Source organism: Homo sapiens, chromosome 4 (genome assembly GCF_000001405.40).
Source record: "Homo sapiens chromosome 4, GRCh38.p14 Primary Assembly".
Classification (NCBI taxonomy): domain Eukaryota; kingdom Metazoa; phylum Chordata; class Mammalia; order Primates; family Hominidae; genus Homo; species Homo sapiens.
Genome location: NC_000004.12, coordinates 94,870,725 through 94,892,179, shown reverse-complemented (window position 1 = coordinate 94,892,179; position 21,455 = coordinate 94,870,725). Strand labels below are relative to the sequence as shown.

Sequence of the window (21,455 nt, the reverse complement as noted above, 5' to 3'; positions counted from 1 at the left end):
GAAAGCCGTATGTTCCTCTGGGATGTTAACCTCCATTTAGACCTGGCACCAAACCTCAACTTATTAAACTTAAAAACTACGAGCAATTACGAGTTTATGTGAATTTCCCTAAATGAGACATGAGTTTTTTTGAAAAGGACCACTCTTAATGAAGTTTGCAAGTACAGCCCCAAGACAGTGCTTTATATGTCAGAGGGACTCAATTTAATATTAAAGTAAATTAAAAAATTAAGTACTTGAGGGTAAAAACTATCACTGATTTGTCTCTTTGGCACAGGGCTTGGCATGGTGCCTCAAACACAAGAGAGCCTCAATATATAAATGCTGAATGAATGAATAAACAAACAGGCAAACCATTCTTTCTCTGTAAAGCATGAAGTTTTTATCATCCTCATCAATGCCAATTTGAGGCACTTGATCAAAATTGTAACTGATCTGGTAAGCCCTAGATATTAATAAATCTGCAATGTTCTAGGAGTCATACAATCCCTATGCTATTCCATTTTTGAATGTTACCTTTTGTTTAGTTTTTCCTAATTCTACATACGCTGCCATTCCAACATTTCCTTTTTGCTGTGCCAGGATTAGAATGTGTGGCCACTACTGTTTTAAGCTCAGGATTACTGCCACTTCAAAAACCACTAGTACCGAAAAGATCACTGTTAACCATATGATGAAAGCCACTATAATACTTCTTAAGTTTTTACTTTTAAGTATCATTTACCTTTTAAGTTTCAAAGTCTTAATTTTACATGTACAAAAACTACTAGAAGATACGAATAAAACTTCACATTTATTTTTCATATATGTATCTGTTAATAGGCTTTTGTTATCAGAATCCAAGAGTATTTATCTGCAGAAAATTACTTCTCATAATATTCAAAAGAGGATGTGATTGTTTCATAGAACCAAGTTTTATTGCTTTATCTCTGTACATTTCAGCAATAAGATGTAAGTGGAATGTATAGTGGGAAAGTGTTTAAGTTACCAAACAAGCTATTAAGTGTTTAATGTACCACACAAATACTAACCACTTACTATGTACAATGCACATATTAGGATATTGTGAGAAATATAAAGATAATATCTCAATAAAGCTATGAGAAGATATAGACAACAAAATTGCAACAATAGAAAAGGTTAAAAAACTGTTTTCCAATTACTATTTTCCAACTACATTTTAAAATAAATTAAGTTTTAGGGGCACATGCTGAACTAAAAAAAATGCAATGTTGGTCCTTTCCTTTAACCACTTCTGCTATGGACTGAATTGTGTCATCCCCAATTCATATTCCAAAGTCCTAACCCCCAATGTGATGGTACTCAGAAATGGAGCCTTTGGGAGGTAACTAGGTTTACATGAGATCATGAGGATGGGGCCCTCATGATGGGATTAGTGCCCTTACAAGAAGAGCCACCAGAGAGCATGCACTGTCTCTCTTCACCACGTAAGGACGCTGTAAGAGGGTGGCAGTCTGTAAGCTAGAAAGAGAGACCTCACCAGAATCCAACCATGTTAGCATCCTGATTTTAAACGTTCAGCTTCCAGAACTGTGGAAAAAAATAAACTTCTGTTGTTTAAGCCACCCACTCTAAAGTATTTCGTTACGGCAGCCCAAGAAGACTAGTACAACTTCTCTGATTGACTTTTATACTTTTACATTAGAATTATTCTAGGTCATAATTACACTCATGTAATTTACAGCCACAAATGTATTTTTATAATATTAAGAGGTTTGGAAGTGGAGTTAGTAAATAAATATCAATTCTTCAATTGCCAATTGTTCATAAAAGTGGGAAGAAGGAAAGAGAGAGAGAATTTTACATTTATTTAACAAGTAACTCAGAAATAAGCTTTGGGGGAGAGGGGGTTACCTCATTAGCAATAAGTGCAGACATGCAGACATTCCCCTACACAAAACCTCTTTCAGCAGCATCAGAAAGAGAATGCTTTTTGCATGTGTCACTTCTCAGGTCCAAGCCTCTAGCAGGCTTCTTGTTATATGCAATTAGCTCCACGCCAAGATTTAGTACATTTCATAATAAATCCCTTGACCACATTAACTGTAGGCTTGGCAAAGTTGGAAAGGCTCTATTCACGAAGACAGAAAACAAGCCACAGAACTTACCCCACAGCAAAACGCACTTGCTAGATGCCAACACACTACAAATTTCAACAGCCTGCCATGCCCTCCCTTCATTCCTCTCCCTCTATTTGGGGTAGAGGAGGGGTCAGAAAAATACAACCTGCCATGTGACTATGATTAAAGAGTATATAAGGGCAAAAAAAGCTACAGACAAATTTGGTGTGTTTACTTCTTCTTCCTCCTCCTCCTAAATCTTGTTACTAGCTTGTTCCTTTGACCTAACTCCCCAAACCACCCACCCAAAAAACCTAGAGTCACTTCACAGATGAGATCCAGAGTTTACCCTCATTTAAACAGTAACCATCTGTTGCCTGCAGGAAGACTGTGGCTCCTTCTCAGGTTTCCCTTTTTGGAACATGAAGGCTGTGGTATATTATGGCTATTCTGCATGGGAAAGTTCTCTGCAGGACAGCAGGAGCAATGAAAAAAGGAAGGAGGCACAGAACTAATGAGCCCTTCCGCTCATATCAAAACAAAGCACAACACCTTTTATTTGTTTTTGATAAACACCTTTTGAGAAAGAATTAAAACTACAGCAGTACAGAGAGAACATGCATGAGCTCTGGAGTTGTACAAACCCCAATTTCAATCTTAACTTGTTTTCACTTTGTCAATTAGAGCATCCGTTTCTTTATCTGAAAAACAGAGATACTACAGAGTTGACGCAGGGCCTAGAAATGTTTGGCTCAGAAAATGCTTATCATATACAAGATTAATTCTAGATATTTTATTTTGCAGTATTATTACTGGAAAAAATGTTAATCACAGGCAAATTACGATAAAAATATAGGAAGACAAAAAATAAAATATCACTATTAAAACTCCATTAAGTTCCCTTTTAGATAACACATTTGAAACATCGCCATTGTTAAAATTTACAATAAAAATTAATTAGGAGGCCTCTCTTGGATCCCCAGCAAGAGGCTCCTGGTACTGACATCCTATTCCTCTTTATTATAAATTTCTTTCTGGTTCTTTGAGGCTCCAGTATATATTTAAAATAAGAAAAAATAAGACTCTTAAAACCTGTATCTCATTTATAAAAACTATTGAAATTTTATATTATGTATTACAAATTTTAGAATGTTTTTATAGTGTCTTGCTTTTCCAGTGTAAGAAACAATGGTTTCCTTAGAGATATGATTTCCTTGGAGATATATCATTATGATATATCATGATATATTAGAAGTATATCATTAATAGCATTTCTAACAATAAAATTGATAAAATAATTTCCTACCATGTAAATAATCATACAACAAAATATCTGCAATTGGGACTAGCCTAGAAAAGTCAGGTTACTGGGTCACTTAGTTTATGGGTGCAAGCAAAAATTTACAGTCAGCCTTCCTTTGCCTCAATCCCAGCTTCATCACTTACCAGCTTTGGACCAAGGTACTATTTAATCTCTCTCTGCTTTAGTTTCCTTATCTGTAAAATGATCAATATCAGCACCCAACTCTTATAATTGTGAAAAAATTAAATAATGTTTAGAAGGTGTTTAGGACAGTGCCTGGTGCATAGTAAGTGCTTTGTATCATTATTATCATTGTTATTATTCATGCTATTATGAAAAATCATATGGTCCTTTAACATCTGCCTACAGTAGAATATTGCCTACACAACAAAGATCTTTTTCTATTTTCATTTCTTTTCCCCTCTTCTCTGATTTAATTGGCATATCTCATCTCTACTTTTTAGTCTTATAATGCATATTTATTTATTTTTAAATACTCACCATCAGTCATTTTACTGTTTTCCTAGTCATGATTTGGATGGATACAGCTCATGCTCTAATAGATTCCTCAGGAAGAATTGATAGAAAATTCCATAAACTCTTACATGTTGAAAACTACTTTTCTAAAGCCTTGTAAATTGAAAAATAGTTTGGATACAAAATTCTTGATTGCCACTTTATTTCACTGAGTAAAATAAAAAATAATAACAATAACAAAACTGTTCCATTGTTTCCTTGTATTGAATATTGGTTTTCAATAGCTAATGCTAGTCTAATTATTTTCCTTTGGTAGATGACACACTCTTTTTGCCTGTTAGCCCTTAGAATTTTATGATCATTGTTGAAACAGGCTAAATCTCCAAGTTTATTGTTTGGGGTTAATTTGCCCATGTAAGCTCTTTCAATATATAGGGATTCCGATTTTTTTCTATTTCTGAAAAATTTTCTTGGATTATAGTTTTAAATATTGGTTTTGTGAATTATTGTTTTTCTTCTTCAGAGAGTCAAGTAATACAAGTATTATTCCTTTATTGCCAGTCTTCCATTTCCACCACTTTCTCTATGACCCATTTTGCTTCGTGTCATTTGTATCCTCTTGGTCTTTTTCCTGTTTTTCTTTGATGCCGCTTATTAATTTTCATTTGAATCTATTCTCTCTTGGGTGTTCTGTAATTTATCTTCATTTTTGAGATAATTTTGTCATTTTCTTGTATTTATTTACCAAGTTCAATACAGTAGTTTTTCATCTCTCCCTGCTTTTTCTATTTGTTTTTAATTTTTAAATTTCTGATTAAAGGTATTTTTCTTATACCTAAATGTTTGAGTATATTTAAATGTTTAGAATGTAGACACAGTTTTCTTCTGCTTCTTGTTTTTTTTTTTTTTTTTTTTGGTGGGGGGTGGGGGTGAAGGTGGTATTTCCCTCCATTGATTTGTATGAAAATTCACTATCTGATCTTTTTCAATAGATTTGTATGATTTTTTATTTTCCTTTTTTTATTTTGTGATGTGAGGATATTTTACACAATTCCTAGTTTAAAGGCACCTTTTTTTTTTTTGGTCAATCTGGCAAATTCCAGGTGTCAGCAAAATTATTTCTTTTATACGTTTATTTGTTTTAGTAGTAGGGGAGAAGAGTTGAGTCCTCCAAGTTTGTGGTTCTCCTTTGTTTTACAGAACCCTAATTTAACCCTTTTCCTTCTTTTCTCCTTTCCCATTCATTGCCAAAGAATCGCTCTTCGTTCCTTTTTACCTTTTATCCCCTCCCTGAAAAGCAATGCAATTGGAGGACTGTCCCATAAAATTGTTAATTTGACCCTCTAAATAGCACATACTTTGAAACCTTTTCCCACAATCTTCATCCCATCTTCCCAGTTTCTTTTTCGGTATTTTCAGATTTGAGGTATATCTGACCTATACAGTGGTCTCTCCAACTGTTCCTTAAGTTCCCTTGCCAGTGTCCCTCTTCTTCCTCCCTAAGTGATTCCCAGTTTCTGTGTGTATACCACAAAGCACTGCAGCATGACAGGAAAGGGGCAGGAGTATGAAGGACTGCAGAACTTACAGTTATTTTGCAGTCATGTCATTCTCTGTCTTCAAGTGATGTTGAGTGTATATTTTTGAATAGAAATTTATTAGTGGTAAATTAATTTCATATCCATTGGGGAGGAGATTTGAAGAGGTTACTGTACTACCAACTCTCCACTGTCTTCAGTTATCTGGAAGGTAGGTGGTCATTTTTTAAAACATGTCCCATGACTTTTAAAAGAATGTGTATTCAACAATTTTGTAGCATAATATACAACATAAAGCCATTATATCAAGTGCAGTATTTGTAGAGCTCAACTTTCCAACATGCTTACAGATTTAAGACCTGCTTGGTCAATCATTAACAGAGAACATTATGCTCAAATCTCCTACTGAAAATTTGTTAACTTCCCCTTATAATTCAGTTAATTTTAGCTTTATAAAAAAATTTAAACCAGACTTCAGATATAAATTAGAAACTGTATCTTTCAGAATATTTTAATCTTTTATCAAATTGTAATAGTCTTTTTAATCTGTAGCAATGCTTTTCATTCTTAAAGTGTTATTTCTTACTATATCTATCCAAGCTTACTTTTGATTATTATTTGGCTGATATATTATTTTTCACTTGTTATTTTTAACCATTTTTAAATTTATAACTTAGGCATAGCACTTACAAACTGCATATACCTGGATTTTTGGAAATGCAGTGTTAACAATCTTTGTCTTGGAACTAAAAAGTGCAGTACCTTTACATTTATTGTAACTAAAGATATATTTGAATTTATTTCTATCATCTTACTTTGTGTTCTTCATTTTTTCCACATTTACTAACCTTCCTTCTGAAGGGAAAGTTTTGTTCCAAGTACATCCTTTCACTGTGAATGCTACATTTCCAGGATTGTGTGACCAGGGCTTGGTCAGATCCAGTATTTTTCTGGATTCATGTTTTCTTATTTCTTCTTCTGAAGATTTAGCTTAGTATCTTTCCAGGTCAGCAATATGTTTTACAATTATATTAAATAATTAGATTGAGCTCTTTAGATTACATATATTTTTAAATCCTAGATGATTTTTTTCAAAATATTTGTTCTGCCATAATGCCAGAAATGGAAGTCATGTCCTTTTTCTATATAAACTTAACATTTCCTTCAAAAACCACAAAGTGGTCAGGCATTTTGGCAAAATGTCTTTTTTTCCCTGAAGTTTGAAAAATAAAGTTTCTTCCCTGGTGATAAATATGTTAGCACCAATGGCTGCAGTTAAAAAACAAAGATATTTTGTATTCTGTTATAATGGTTTTTAAAACAAATCAGAATAGGAAAATGTCCAAACTCTACCATTCTATGCAAATTCTTAGAAACAGGCAAATGCATTTGTCAAATCTTTCTAAACCGCAATAATAATGATGTGCTAAATAAAGAAGCAACATCTTCAACTTGCTCCTTTTTACTTAGTCATCTTCTCAGTGACTAGGTGGAAAAGGCACTAATATCTGTTTATCTGTTTACTACTGCTGCAAAAATAAGCTACCCTAAAACTCAGTGGCTCCAAACATTAATTGCTCATGAGTCTATGGATCAAGATGGAAGGATCTTCAGGTCTCAGCTGGGTTCCCTCAAGCATGTGTGGTCAGGTACAAGTTAGGTAGGTGGCTCTGCTGATGTTGGCTGTTCTGTCTTAACACATTTTTGGTCAGCTGGCTGACGGCTGGTCTGAGAGGGCCAGACTCAAGTAAAATGACTTGGCTCTGCTCCATTTAGCTGCTCCCCTTCCACCAAGTGAGCCTGTTCACGTGCTCACAGCAGTAACAGAGTTCCAAAGGGAACAGAAGCAAGCAAGACCTCTTAAGGCCCAGGCTGGGAATTGGTACACCATTACTTCTGCTGTGCTCTATTGGCTAAAGCAAATCACAAGACCAGCCCACATTCAAGAGCTGGGAAAACAGACTTCACTTCTTAATAGGAACAACTACGAAGTCTTACTGCAAAGAGTGTTAGATACATGGAGAAGGGAAGTTTGGGGGCATTGCTGCATTTACTCAATCATAATCTGTAAGTATAAAATGTATGTTTGCAGTTGATATTTCATAAGATGCCATCTTATTCATGTCTGAAAATTTTATTAACACCTAAATAAGGTTATGAGAAACTCAAGAACCTCCCTAGGGTGGTTACAACTCTTATCCAATTTGAAAGTATCCTCCATTTAACTGACTTGAGGTCAGCTTTTTGTTTTTTTTGAGACAGAGTCTCGCTCTGTCTCCCAGGCTGGAGTGCAATGGCACCATCTTGGCTCACTGCAACCTCAGCCTCCTGAGTTCAAGTGACTCTCCTGCCTCAGCCTCCCAAGCAGCTGGAATTACAAGCTCCTGCCACCACACCCAGCTAATTTTTGTATTTTAAGGACAGATGGGGTTTCACCATGTTGGCCAGGCGGGTTTCGAACTCCTAACCTCAAGTGATCCACTCATCTCAGCCTCCCAAAGTGCTGGGATTACAGGCATGAGCCACCACGCCCAGCCGAGGTCAGTTTTTTATATGAAACTGGAACAGTAGGCAGTTAGTTAAGACGTTTACTCCAAAGGGCACTGAAAATCTACTAAAGGCTTTCAATTGAGGAAGTTAGATCATTACTTTTGAAACCTTGGAAGACCACTCTGACTTCAAGGGGGACGTTAGATTGGCATGAAGCAGATTAGAGTCAGAAAAATATTCTTTTAGCAGGCTGTAAGTTATACAGTAGTTTAAAGCAAAAGATGATAGTGCCCTTGGATCAAGGTACTGACAGTAAAAATGACTAAAAGTTGACAAAATTTGAGGGCTAGCTAGGGGTGGAATTGAGTATTCTGTTAAATGGGTATTCAACACAATTACTAAGTGCCAAATACTCTGGTAGGTTCTAGGGAATCAACAGTCCATCTACTTGTGAAACTTTGAGCTTAATGAAGAATAGAGACATGAATCAAAAAAATCACATGTTCCTCAAAGGATTACTGAAAAATCATCTGCTTTACCCTTAGTCTAACAATAGCTTAACTGCAAATTGATGCAATTTATTGACATATCTTTAATACTTCAAAGGGACTAAATAATTATTAGCACATTAATATGTATTACAGAATATATTCCTTAATACATATATAATATATTCCTTAATATATATATTGAATTATAAAATACATTCTCTTTAGATAAAAAACAAATTAAGTTATTAATGAGCTGCTTGATTTTTTTACATAAACAACCTCAAATATTTTGTAAAATAGAGAAAGGGTGTAAACAACAAAGAAATGAGCATGTGGATGAGTAATGAATATGAGATCCTTGGAGAATAAGCTATCACAGTAGTATCTGATTAGTAGCAGAGAGAGAATATAAGATAAGGCCATCTATAATGTTAACATGATAGGATGCAAAAACTCTGTTTTGTCTTGTTTGAACAGAGACTCCTTTGAGACTCTGATAAAGCTATGGGCTAGAAAATGTACACACACAGAAATCCGGCATGTAGTTTCAGAGAGTTCACAGACACTCTCTCCCTCAGATGCACATCACTTTATAATAAACAAACAGCTCTGGACTAGAATCCAGCTGATACAGTTCTCTCATCAGTGGAAGAAGGGAGGTGAGCTCAGTCACTTTTCGAAGTCTATTTTCAAGGCTCTCTGGGATGACACCTGCAAAGGCAGATGAGTAGAAAGAACCCTGCACTGAGAATTGGGTGCAGGCTAAAAACACAAGGGAATTCAGGGAAGGAAACACACACACACACACACACACACACACATACACACACACGCACACACACACAGGAAAGAAAAGGTCACCCTTTTTGATAATTCAGCCTGGGGCTAGTTCTGATCCTACCTCTAAGCATTCTGAAGGTGATTCAGTTTGCACTGCCAACCAAATCAGAGCAATGATAATGTTGTAAACCATGAATTCCCACATTTGAAACCATGAAAACTGATAAACAATCTTTACAAAAAACAATTAATTCTACTTCTATCCCATGGTGCAGAAGGAGATCTGAAGACCCTCCCTATGAAAATCACAAACACTGTATCTTTCAAAAGTACTGTAAGTCAGACTGACCTAAATTCAAATCTCCACCCTACCAATTCTAGCTGGATTAACCTGTTATCAGGTAAGTAAAGTCTCTGATTCTGATTTTCTTCATCTGCAAAAAGAGGATTATAAAATCTCCTCTGCTTTAAAGAGTTATTGACAAGATAAGATGAAACAACATATGCTGAGTGCTTAGCACAGTAGAAGGCAGCTATACCAAACACCACCACCAAAGGTGAAAGGCAAAATCACAATTTTCAGCTAAATATTTATGTTATTTCTACTCCTGTTCCCCACTCTCAAGCTAAACTTTGACGAAGAGAAAAAGTTTCTTGTTTCCAAGATTAAGGCAAAGCTATACTTGTTCCCATATGAAAACATAAAATATATTTAGTGAAAGAATTGTTCTTGCATCCTAGAAGAGAAAAAACACAAAAGACTATCATGTTCCCTCTGCGTGCTATGAAGAAAATATTCCTCTATGGAAGGGGAAATAATTTTTTTAATTAAAAAATCCATGGAAAGATGTCATCCTCCTCTATCCTTCCATGGAAAAAAAAAGAAAAAAACAGTGAGGGGGACAGTAGCATAGGAACCTTTTTCATGCCAGTATTTCCAAACTGGCTGTCCATTAGATTCCCTACACAGCTTTTCACACATTCTTGAGTTTGAAATCCAGAATCACAATCTTTTAGAGATGAGAATCGGGTATTTTCCAAAGCCTCATTAATTTAGCCAGGTGCATAGCCAGGGTTGAGACACTGTCTTACCCCTAAGTCTTTCCTTTCACTTATAAACCACTACAGGATATCTCAGCCTATTTAACAAAGATTATTTTTAGAGCTAAAAGGCAGCTTAGCCATCAGATGAGGTGAAACCAATAGCCTTATTTTATGGCTGAAGAAAAAAAGGCCTAGAAAGGTCGAAATATTAGGCCAGGTGCAGTGGCTCATGCCTGTAATCCCAGCACTTTGAGAGACCAAGGCGGGAGAATCACCGAGGTCAGGAGTCCGAGACCAGCCTGGCCAATGTGATGAAACCCCGTCTCTACTAAAAATACAAAAATTAGCTGGGTGTGGTGGTGCACACCTGTACTCCCAGCTACTCAGGAGGCTGAGGCAGGAGAATCACTTGAACCTGGGAGGTGGAGGTTGCAGTGAGCTGAAATCACACCACTGCAATCCAGCCTGGGTGACAGAGTGGATTGCAAAAAAAAAAAAAAGTTGAAATATTACACTTGCCCCAGCCTAGAACTTGAACCCAGCTCCTCTCGTTGCCAAATTCTTCTGCTGAAGATCACCTATGCAGTAACTTGCCGAGGACACATGACCTGAATCTATTCATGAGGAAACACCAAAACCAAAACAAGAAACATGCTTCTAAATACGCATGTGTTTGTGGGGGAGAGGTCTTATATCCTTCAACAATAGTAACGTTACAGCCAAATTCACAGAGACAGTAAGCATAATGGGGGTTGCCAAGGACTGAGGGCTGGAAAACAGAGTTAGAAGGTACAGTTTCAGTTGCAGAAGATGAAAATGTTCTTGAGATGGATGATGGTAATGGTACAAGAATGTAAACATACTGAATGCCACAGAACCACATACTTGAAAATGGTTAAAATTGTCCATTTTATGGTATACACATTTTGCCACAATAAAAAATGGCAATATTATGCAAGGTAAAACTTCAGAATTACGATGTTGCATCTTTTCCACACACAAGAATTTTCTGACTTTAAAAGTTGATTAAAATATTTTAGGGCTGGACCCAGTGGCTCAGTCCTATAATCTCAGCACTTTGGGAGGCCAAGGAGGGCCAATCACTTGAGATCAGAAGTTCAAGACCAGTCTGGCTAAAATGGTGAAACCCCGTCTCTACTAAAAATATAAAAATTAGCTGGGCATGGTGGCACGCCTGTAATCTCAGCTACTTGGGAGGCTGAGGCATAGAATCGCTTGAACCTGGGAGGTGGAAGGTGTAGTGAGCCATGATTTCATCACTGCACTCCAGCCTGGGTGACAGAGTGAAACTCTGTCTCAAAAAAAAAAAAAAAAAAAAATTCATTTTAATGGTCAGGCGCAGTGATTCACGCCTCTAATCCCAGTACTTCAGGAGGCCAAGGCAGGAGGACTGCTTGAGCTGAGAAGTTCGAGACCAGCCTGGGCAACACCGTACAATCCCATCTCTACAGAAAAACAAAACAAAATTACTCCAAGGTGGTGGTGTGTGCTTGTAGTCCCTGCTACTCAGGAGGCTGAGGTGGGAGGATTGCTGCCCAGGAGGTTGAGGCTGCAGTGAGCTATGATCGTGCCATTGTACTCCAGCCTTGGCATCAAAGGGAGACTTTGTCTCAAAATAAGTAAAATAAAAAGTAAAAATAAAAATATATCATTTTAATGCATTGTTTTTAGGGCATATTTGCTGTTCTGCCTTGAATTTATGGAGACAAGTTAGAAGTACAGTACTCTGAAACTCTGCCAATTCTTGAATGAGAACCAACCAAAGACATATAATGCTTCAGCTCTAGGGCCATCCTGCTAGGAAAATTCTATTTTTTAGTAAATGAGAAACACACATATACTTAACAGCATGTTGCATGTTTTTTAAAAAGTCAAAAATTATGAATAAAATAATAATAATTTGTATTGTCATTTTATATAATAAGATGTTCCATAAAAATATTTTGTTACGATAATCACTTCTCTTAGATACCGGATGAATACCACAAATAACAAATCTATAACTAATTAAATTCAAATTTAGTCTAGGAATTCCAAACGATCCATATGGTTGGTTTAACCACAGTATTTTCAATATACATTGTTTTTTTCTTTTAAAGTATCAAACTTTGTATTAAAAACTGATTTTTCACTGTGTAGTATAGTCTTGCCCATATGCACACCAATTTAATGACAGAAATATATCATGAGATATAGTTATTAAACAAAATATTTTTCTACTTCTAATTCTATAATAATGGGGAAAAAAATTTAAAGATCTCCTGGACGAAACAACAGGAAAAGAAAAATCACTGGATACGAGAAAAATAAGAACCAAATGTATTTTATTTATTTTTATTTTTATTTATTTCTGAGACAGGGTCTCGCTCTGTCATCCAAGCTGGAGTACAGTGGTGCTAACACAGCTCACTGTAGCCTCAACCTCTGAGCTCAAGTGATCCTCCTGCCTCAGCCTCCTGGAGTAGCTGGGACAACAGGCACACCCCAGCACACCTGGCTAATTTTTTAAAATTTTTTATAGACACCAGGTCTAGCCATGTTGCCTAGGCTGGTTTCAAACTTGTGGGCTCTAGCAATCCTCCTGCCTTGACCTCCCAAAGAATCAAATGTAAACACTCAAATAAATCCAAATGTTTTACTTGACACTTTTCATTAATACCTTAAACATTTTAAGAGTCCCTTGTTCTTTTCTATTCTACCAGGAAGTATAAGGTACTGCTAAAGAGCATAGGATTTACAATCATATGACCAGTTCAAATACCAGCTCTACCATTTACTTGCTGGAAATGGTACTCATCTGGAAATGAGAAGAAATTATAATAGGAGATATACCTAATGCTAAATGACGAGTTAATGGGTGCAGCACACCAACATGGCACATGTATACATATGTAACAAACCTGCACATTGTGCACATGTACCCTAAAACTTAAAGTATAATAATAAAAAAATAAAAAATCTATTAAACCTGCCTGAATATGCAATGTGAAACTGCTATACTTCATTAAATTCATTAAAATAGAGGGTAAATAAATGGTAGAAATATTTGATATAAATGAGTCAAAGAGCTGATCATCTTAATTACATAAGGAGGTCACACAAATTAGTAATAAACTAAAACTGTAATAGACAAACTAGAAAACACATGAACTGGGAACTCACAGAAGATGAAATACAAATGCCTACCAAGCATATCAGAAGTAAAAAAAAAAAAAAAAAAGCAGAACCTGTTAAATGAAATGTATGGGAGGCCACTGGTTTGGACTGAGCTTCTGCACTAGGCCCTATATACCAGACAAGACCAAAATGGAGTCACTCAGAATGCAGTTATTATCTGGCTGGGAGCCACATAATCAAACTGAACTTTGAAATGGGCCTGTTTTCAGAAAAAAAATTAGGAGACGCACAGCAGCCAATGAGGAGGAGCCTAGTTTACCTGGGCCAGTGTAACAAGAAAGTCCTCTCTGTTTTAATTCTATAAGGAAAGTTACTTTGAAATGACCAATTCACTTTTCATTTCCTGTTTCTGCTTTCTTCAGCCCTTTCCAGCCTATAAAAATAACGTCCTCTGCTCAGCTCATGGGAGCACCTTTTCTAAATGTTTAGATGAGATGCTACTGATTCATGAATTGCTAATAAAAACCTAGTATCTTTAAACTAAATTTGTTGCAATTTTGGTTTTTAACAAACCTTAGAAGGAATTAAAAAATAGCACATTAAAACAGTGGAAACCAGTCCCCTCTATGCTCCTGAAACAAATATTAGTCATACAGCATTCCTGAAAGCAATTTTGCAATATGCTTAAAGAGCCTTTAAAAATGTTCTCATTCCTTGATCTAATTATTCCACGGTCAGGAATATATCCTAGAAATAAAACCTGAAATAATAAAATATAAGATGATACAAGATGATAGAGCCATTAAAATTTTTTTTATAAGACCATTCATCAATATAGGCGATATCATTCCAATGTAAATGCATATACACACACACACGCACACATGTGCATGCACACAAACACAGGAAATATAAAAGTGCTGATATTGAAGTGGTGTAATTTACCTTTTGCTACCAAATTTGTCTAATAAGCATAGATTATTTTCACTAATAAAAATACTGTTTTAATTATTCTATTATTAATAAATATTACACTTCTATACATATATAAAATGTATCTCAATGTATTTGATAGTTGATATCTCTGGAAAAATATGTTTGCATTTCAGTTTCTACTTTCCTTGGCCTCACTTTCTTATAGTTTAAAAACTTAATTTACCTGCTGAGCCATTCCCACTGTTCTGGCAAATCTTCAAAAAAACAGACATTATAATTCCTACTGGGGGTAGGGGATGTAGGATCTAGATTAATCTAAATTAATCCTAAAATGTATTTCTAGAGAAAGGTGCCTATAGGCACCCGCTCGTTCTCTCTTTGCAGAGCCTAGTGCACAGGCAGTGGTTTTCTCTGCTTTCCGATTTACTTCAGTTCACTAACAGGAAATGCCAACCCTAAGGCCAATCCATCTGATTGGTTCTCTAACCCCATCCCAACTCCTGGTAAAAGGCCCCTTTCCTCTGGGGTTAATTTCTGATCCCATCAACAACTGGAAGCATGACTCAAAAATGAGCAAAACCTTTTCCAAACCCCTCACCCTGGTAGGAAGGTTCCTGATGCCCAGCCCCACACTTCAGATGCTAACCTTTGGAAAGAGACAGCAACCCAAATCAAGACCAATTATTTCTGGCTTACTCCCCAACCATCTCTCTCCATGAAGAAAATTCTATGATTCTGATACTTGAATCAATGTGAGTTTTTATGCACAGTGGCATAATATGTGGCCCAACTGAAACTTACTATGCTGAAAATTTAACCTCACAACACTTAGCCAGGGGAAAAACATATATATTGTATTTATAGCCCCGAAAGGAGTAATACCAATACTTGTAAAGTACATTATTTCTGCTTTCTTAATTAAAATTATGCTACCATCTTTTAATATGGTTATTTTTAAGCAAGCAATGAAATATTTTATAAATATGCAAAAGTAAGTTTCTGAAAACTTTACTGAGTAGATTTATAAGGATTTAAAGTATAAAAAATTTCTGATAGAGTTCACTGGAGTAAAGTCAAACCCATTAAGAAGTATAACATGTATTCATCCTACATTTGTTCATGTGTTATTAGAAAAGATATATCAAAAGTAAGCACATCCTCCCATCATTATTATGAGCCAGTTCAAATTGTTCAAATAGTATTATCGGTTTTCAGTATAGCACTGAAGTAAAGATCAGGAGGTCTCAATGTAATTCCCACTCTACCACTTAACTATCTACATAATCCTGGGCAATTTTCTTAATTTTCCAATGCTTCAGTTTTAACATCTATAAAATGGGAATATTAACAGAACAGTTTTCACAGACTTGTGAAGAACAAATTGAATTCATTTAAAGCATTCGTAATAGCATTTGAACACTGTAGCACACTATAAAAATAGCTATAATAGGAGTAAATGCTTAGAAAAGAGTCTCCAAGTTAACGTTCACTAATATATGTGGGTCAGAGGTAGGGCCTCTGAAGTCCACGCCACCTGTTTCACATTTGCCCTCTAAAATGAGTGACACCAACTAGAACTATCAGCATGAAAAGTATAATGGATGGATTTGCTTTAAAATGGCATAATGTTGTAATCTAGTTTTTATTAACCTGAAACATGTTATCGTGATGATATCAGCAATGGTTGGTAAAAGGTTATTACCAAGTGTGTAAATGTTTGAGGAACAGACTAAGTGTGTAGGCCAACATTTCAAATGAAAAGCACAAGTTACTTTCTCATTATAGAACAAATCCACATCCACCTTGTCATGTTGATTTACATCAGTTTCCTTATCTTATGTGTTTTTACTGATAACTAAAGGAACAATTGTAGATTCCATTCATCTTATAAAATGTATTATCTTTCTGTTAACTTCAGCATACCACAAAGTCGGAGTGTCAAAAAGCAGTAACGATGCCTACCAAACATCTCAAATTATTTAATAATTACTATGAACTTACCTTTATCAACAAGGCATGAAATGATCTTCCTTTCCTTTCACATCTAAGAAAGAGTAGGCTGAACTCCACCCTGTCAACAAAGAGACAAAAACTGAATTGCTATTTGTGGCTTGAGAAAGGTTTATTATTATTTACCAGTTCAAATGCAGAATCATGGTAATACATAATGGAATTGGGGGATGGGAGGGGAAGTACAGTTCTTCCGTTTTTTTCTTTTGAGATGGAGTCTCGCTCCATCGCCCAGGCTGGAGTGCAGCGGCGCGATCTTGGCTCACTGCAAGCTCCGCCTCCCGGGTTCACACCATTCTCCTGCCTCAGCCTCCCAAGTAGCAGGGACTGCAGGTGCCCGCCACTACACATGGCTAATTTTTTGTATTTTTAGTAGAGACGGGGTTTCACCGTGTTAGCCAGGATGGTCTCAATCTCCTGACCTCGTGATCCACCCACCTCGGCCTCCCAAAGTGCTGGGATTACAAGCGTGAGCCACCACGTCCAGCCTCATTTGTTATTATTAATTGAAAAGATGTACTAAAAATAAAGCACATCTTCCCATGATTATTGTGAACCAGTTCAAACTGTTAAAACAGTATTACAGGTTTTCACTATAGCACTGTAGTAGAGATCAAGAACACCTCAAAGTTCTAACTTTTGGTGTAATTTTTAACAAAGTTCTAACTTTTTACTATAGCACCTCAAAGTTCTAATGTTTGAGCTCCTAGCTTGTGAATAAGAGAAAATATAATATTCCATATAATAGAATTACAGACACCATATGATGTTTCTCTGGTATCTTTCCAAAAAGAAGCAAATACTAAGTCTTACTAGACTTACAGTTTGGGGATGTTACTTAGTGCAAGGATTTTGATACTTAAATGCTGGCCACAGATTTATTTATTATTATTTTTTTTGAGACGGTGTCTCGCTCTGTTGCCCAGGCTGGACTACAGTGGCGCGATCTCGGCTCACTGCAAGCTCTGCCTCCCGGGTTCACGCCATTCTCCTGCCTCAGCCTCCAGAGTAGCTGGGACTACAGGCGTCTGCCACCACGCCCGGCTAATTTTTTGTATTTTTAGTAGAGACGGCGTTTCACCATATTGGTCAGGCTGGTCTCGAACTCCTGACCTCAAGTGATCTACCCGCCTCGGCCTCCCAAAGTCCTGGGATTACAGACAGGCAGGAGCCACCGCACCCGGCCAATAGCCACAGATTTTAAGAGTAAATATATAAACTGACTTTGATCTATAACATTTTTCTAATCAAGTTTACTTACTAAAAAATAGAAAGCAAAAGATAATCAGATTTCTACAGCCTTTTGTTAGTATTCACATCACCAATACCCTCTTCTACTAAAATGTATAAATCACAATTAGATTTTAATTGATATAAAATATATTTTTCTATATTTACATATGCTCCATGATTTCCATATTTTCCAAAACATAAACAAAAAGAGACACAAGCTTAAAGGAGAAGACTGAGAGCAGTATGGCTGTGGTAGTCAAATTAAGGTCAAAAATAAGACTATAGCAACACTTTCCATTCTAAAAACAGAATTACTATATGACCCAGCAATTCCACTGTTGGATATATAATCCAAAGAATTGAAAGCAGAATCTCAAAGAGATATTTGCACACCCATGTTCACTGCAGTATTATTCACAATAGTCAAAAGCTGAAAACAACCCAAATGTCCACTGAAAGATGAATGGATAAAACAAAATGTGGTATGTATATATATACACACACATACACATATATATACACACATATATATATAAAATATTTAGCCTTAAGAAGGAAATCCTGTCACATGCTACAAGATGGATGAACCTTGAAGACATCATGCTAAGTAAAATAAGCCAGTCACTACAAGACAAACACTGTATGATTCAACTTACATGAGGTATCTAAAGTACTCAAGCTCAAACAAACAGAAAGAAGGTAGAATGGTGGCTGCCAGGGACGTGAAGAAAAGAAAATGGGGCTTGTGGCTTAATCCAGAGTTTCAGGTCTCCAAGATGAAAAAGTTCTGGAAATCTGTTGCACAATAACGTGAATATACTTAACACAGCTGAACTGCACTTAAAAATGGTTAAGATAGTAAATTTTATGTTACATGTATTTTACATTAATTTTTTTAAACGCAATAAGACACATAACACACAGGAAGATAGAAGTAAGAATTCATGGTCGGGCCGGGCACGGCAGCTCACGCCTGTAATCCCAGCACTTTGGGAGGGCGAGGTGGGCAGATCACAAGGTCAGGAGATCGAGACCATCTTGGCCAACATGGTGAAACCCCATCTCTACTAAAGAAATACAAAATATTAGCTGGGCATGGTGGCGCACGCCTGTAGTCCCAGCTACTTGGGAGGCTGTGGCAGGGGAATCGCTTGAACCCAGGAGGCAGAAGTTGCAGTGAGCCGAGATCGCGCCACTGCATTCCAGCCTGGTGACAGAGCGAAACTCTGTCTCAAAAAAAAAAAAAAAGAATTCATAGCCTTGAAGTATGGGTAAGATTTGTCAAAGCAGAAATAGAGATGGGAAATCCGGGTACAAGATTCGATCTGCAAAAAGTCATCTCCAAACGATGAAGGAAAAAAAGCAAAAATTCAGGTAAACAACCACCTAATAGAAGAGTAACTCAAATAAAACTAGAAAGGCAAATTGAGGGTCATTCAGTAAGGTGGTCAGTACTTAAGGGAGAGTATCCGAAGTGACAGAACAAGTAAAGCTCTGGCCATATGGACCGGAGGTGAGAGGAAGTAGTCAGACACCTGTTACAAGTTTTGCTCAATGCTGACCCAGGAAGTCTGGCTTATGGCCAAAAAAAAAAATCATATAGATTATTTCTAGATATAGTACAGCACATCAGGTAAATGTGAAGTTGTACTTGGGGGCCCTACAGGCAGCTGAATCAGTTGGGTTTCCCATAAAGACATATCCTAGAAAACCTTCAAACCCAGTATGATTACATTACCTTTAAATTGTATCAAACTGAAATCTCTTCACTCTAAAACTTCTTAGGTGCAGAAACTGCCTCGTACAACTTTCACATCTAAAGTTCAGTTTTATACTCACAGAAAGCATTATGTAAGTAATTGCAAAACATAATCATCTTTTACTGCTGAATATTTACATGGGGATATATTAAACACTTGAAATTGGTTATTGTTTATTTTTGAGACAGGGACTAGCTCAGTCACCCAGGCTGGCGTGCAGTGGCACAGGCTCAAGCGATCCTCCCACCTCAGCCTCCAAAGTAGCTGGGACTACAGGCATGCTCCACTGGCATCCAGCATTTTTCTTTGATAATAAAAGAAAAATCTTAAATATCACAAAAACCCAGCAGATTCATCAATTCTTATAAAATATGAAGACAAAATTTCTAATTTCTCATCTGAAAAGGTTTAAAAATTCATACTTCTACTTTAATCAAAAGTTAGAATTTCAAAATTTATATTTCAAACAAATACTTGCAATCATCACTAAACGTGCTATTGATAGGGGCTTTTATACTCTATTGCTTCTGGGTTTAAAAAGTGACTTTGAAAATATTTTTATATGTTTAGAGGGTATTTAAAACCAGTTTGCACTTGAAAGCTTTGTCTACAAATATTTACATTTATCTTTATTTAAATTATCATTTTTTTCTGAATTTCCAAGCCATACTCTAGGGCTTTGCCTTCAAAGCTATAGAAGCTAAAAGATTTTAAAAGTGCCTTGTGAGGTCACAGAGAATGCCAGGGTGCCGGTAAGAGAAAGCAGACCTCACTGCCTGGATGTCAATTTTCCAGCTCCTGGGCACTCGCTCACAAGAGCACCACAGCTTAAAATGATTATAAAGATAGCATTAAGACAATTAAACAAATTACTTGGAATCAAGAGTACTTAAAACCTATTCCTAACCTGAATAAAAGGTACGACCTTAGAAATTGAGGTAAATTACAGAAAAGTGTTACAACATGAGTAAGCATTCATTTGTTTTCCTTTTGCAATTTAAAATTTTTCGAGCATTCTAGAATCAAACCTTGGGGTATTTCAGCAATGCATACAAACTAAGGAAGGCCTTAAAGTATTTCAGTAATGCATCAACACTCAAAATAGCTTGTATATATAGGTAGTAAACTAAGTTGTTGAAAATTGTTTGACTATTCAGTATCCTTACTGGAGCAATCAAACCTTTTCTGTATGTGTTTACCTTGTATTATCTTTTAAAATAATGGAATATTGAAGATCTTATTCTCTAGTATGAAACTGTAAGTGAACAATATAACTAATTATTAAATTCTAGAGTCCAAAAAATTCTAAAGATTCTGATGTAAAATTAAGTTTTTTCTTTTCAAAACAAAAATCCATGGAATATGTGGGGGGAGGGGATATAGATTTCCTTCCTTCTTAGAAAGGGTTTTTAAAGAATAACATGAGTACTTCATAAATCAAGAAACATGACATTCACAACATATTAACAATCTTGAAGGTGTAAAATACTTATATATAAAATTATGAAATGCATGTGAAGCCTTAAAATAGCAGAAAAGATTAGTAACAGTTCCATGTTCCAAACATGTCCATATTTTTACCATACCAAGACTAATATCTTACTTTACAAAGGATGTACGCATTAGCTTATTTAATCCTCATAATAAGCACACGGTACTTTACATATAGCAGAATGCAGAGCAGCAAAGAAACAGGTCTTGGAGTCAGGCAGTCCTTGGGTATGAATTCTAGCTTTATGTTTACTGGCTGTGTGACATCGGGCAAGCTGCTTAACTTCTCTAACCCCTGGTTTTCTCATCTGTAAAATTGGGATAATGCCTGCCTCCAATTTACTACATGAATTAAATAACATAATGCACACAAAGCATTTAACAAAGTACCTCTTACCCCGCCCCCCCGCCAAAAAAATCATCATCATTTACAGATAAGTGTCTGTAATTCAATAAACAGAGTGCACTTGAGAACTTGGGATGTTCAGCTCCTCACCTAAGGCTATTTCCACAGTTCCATAATTGTTTAAGAGCCTACCAAAAGACACCTTCCAACGTTAATGTGGGAAACTCCAAACTCTGAGGCAGGGTACCCTTCTTTGTAACATCTTTGCTTCCAGAGTGAAGTCAGAATCCAACGCAAGATGAAATGCTGGGCAATTATCAATTCATTGTGCTAATAG

At 36.2% G+C, this 21,455-nt stretch overlaps 1 protein-coding gene across 6 annotated transcripts in view; it reads right to left on the bottom strand.

The window, feature by feature from the left end:
* The window catches only part of BMPR1B (bone morphogenetic protein receptor type 1B), a 400,496-nt gene that overhangs the window by 266,271 nt on the left and 112,770 nt on the right, over nt 1-21,455 (bottom strand). For all 6 annotated transcript variants that reach the window (XM_017008559.2, XM_047416093.1, XM_047416091.1 and 3 more), the window contains exon 2: nt 16,280-16,349. The gene's annotated coding sequence lies outside the window, so the exon portion shown is untranslated. The remainder of the gene's footprint in view (nt 1-16,279; nt 16,350-21,455) is intronic.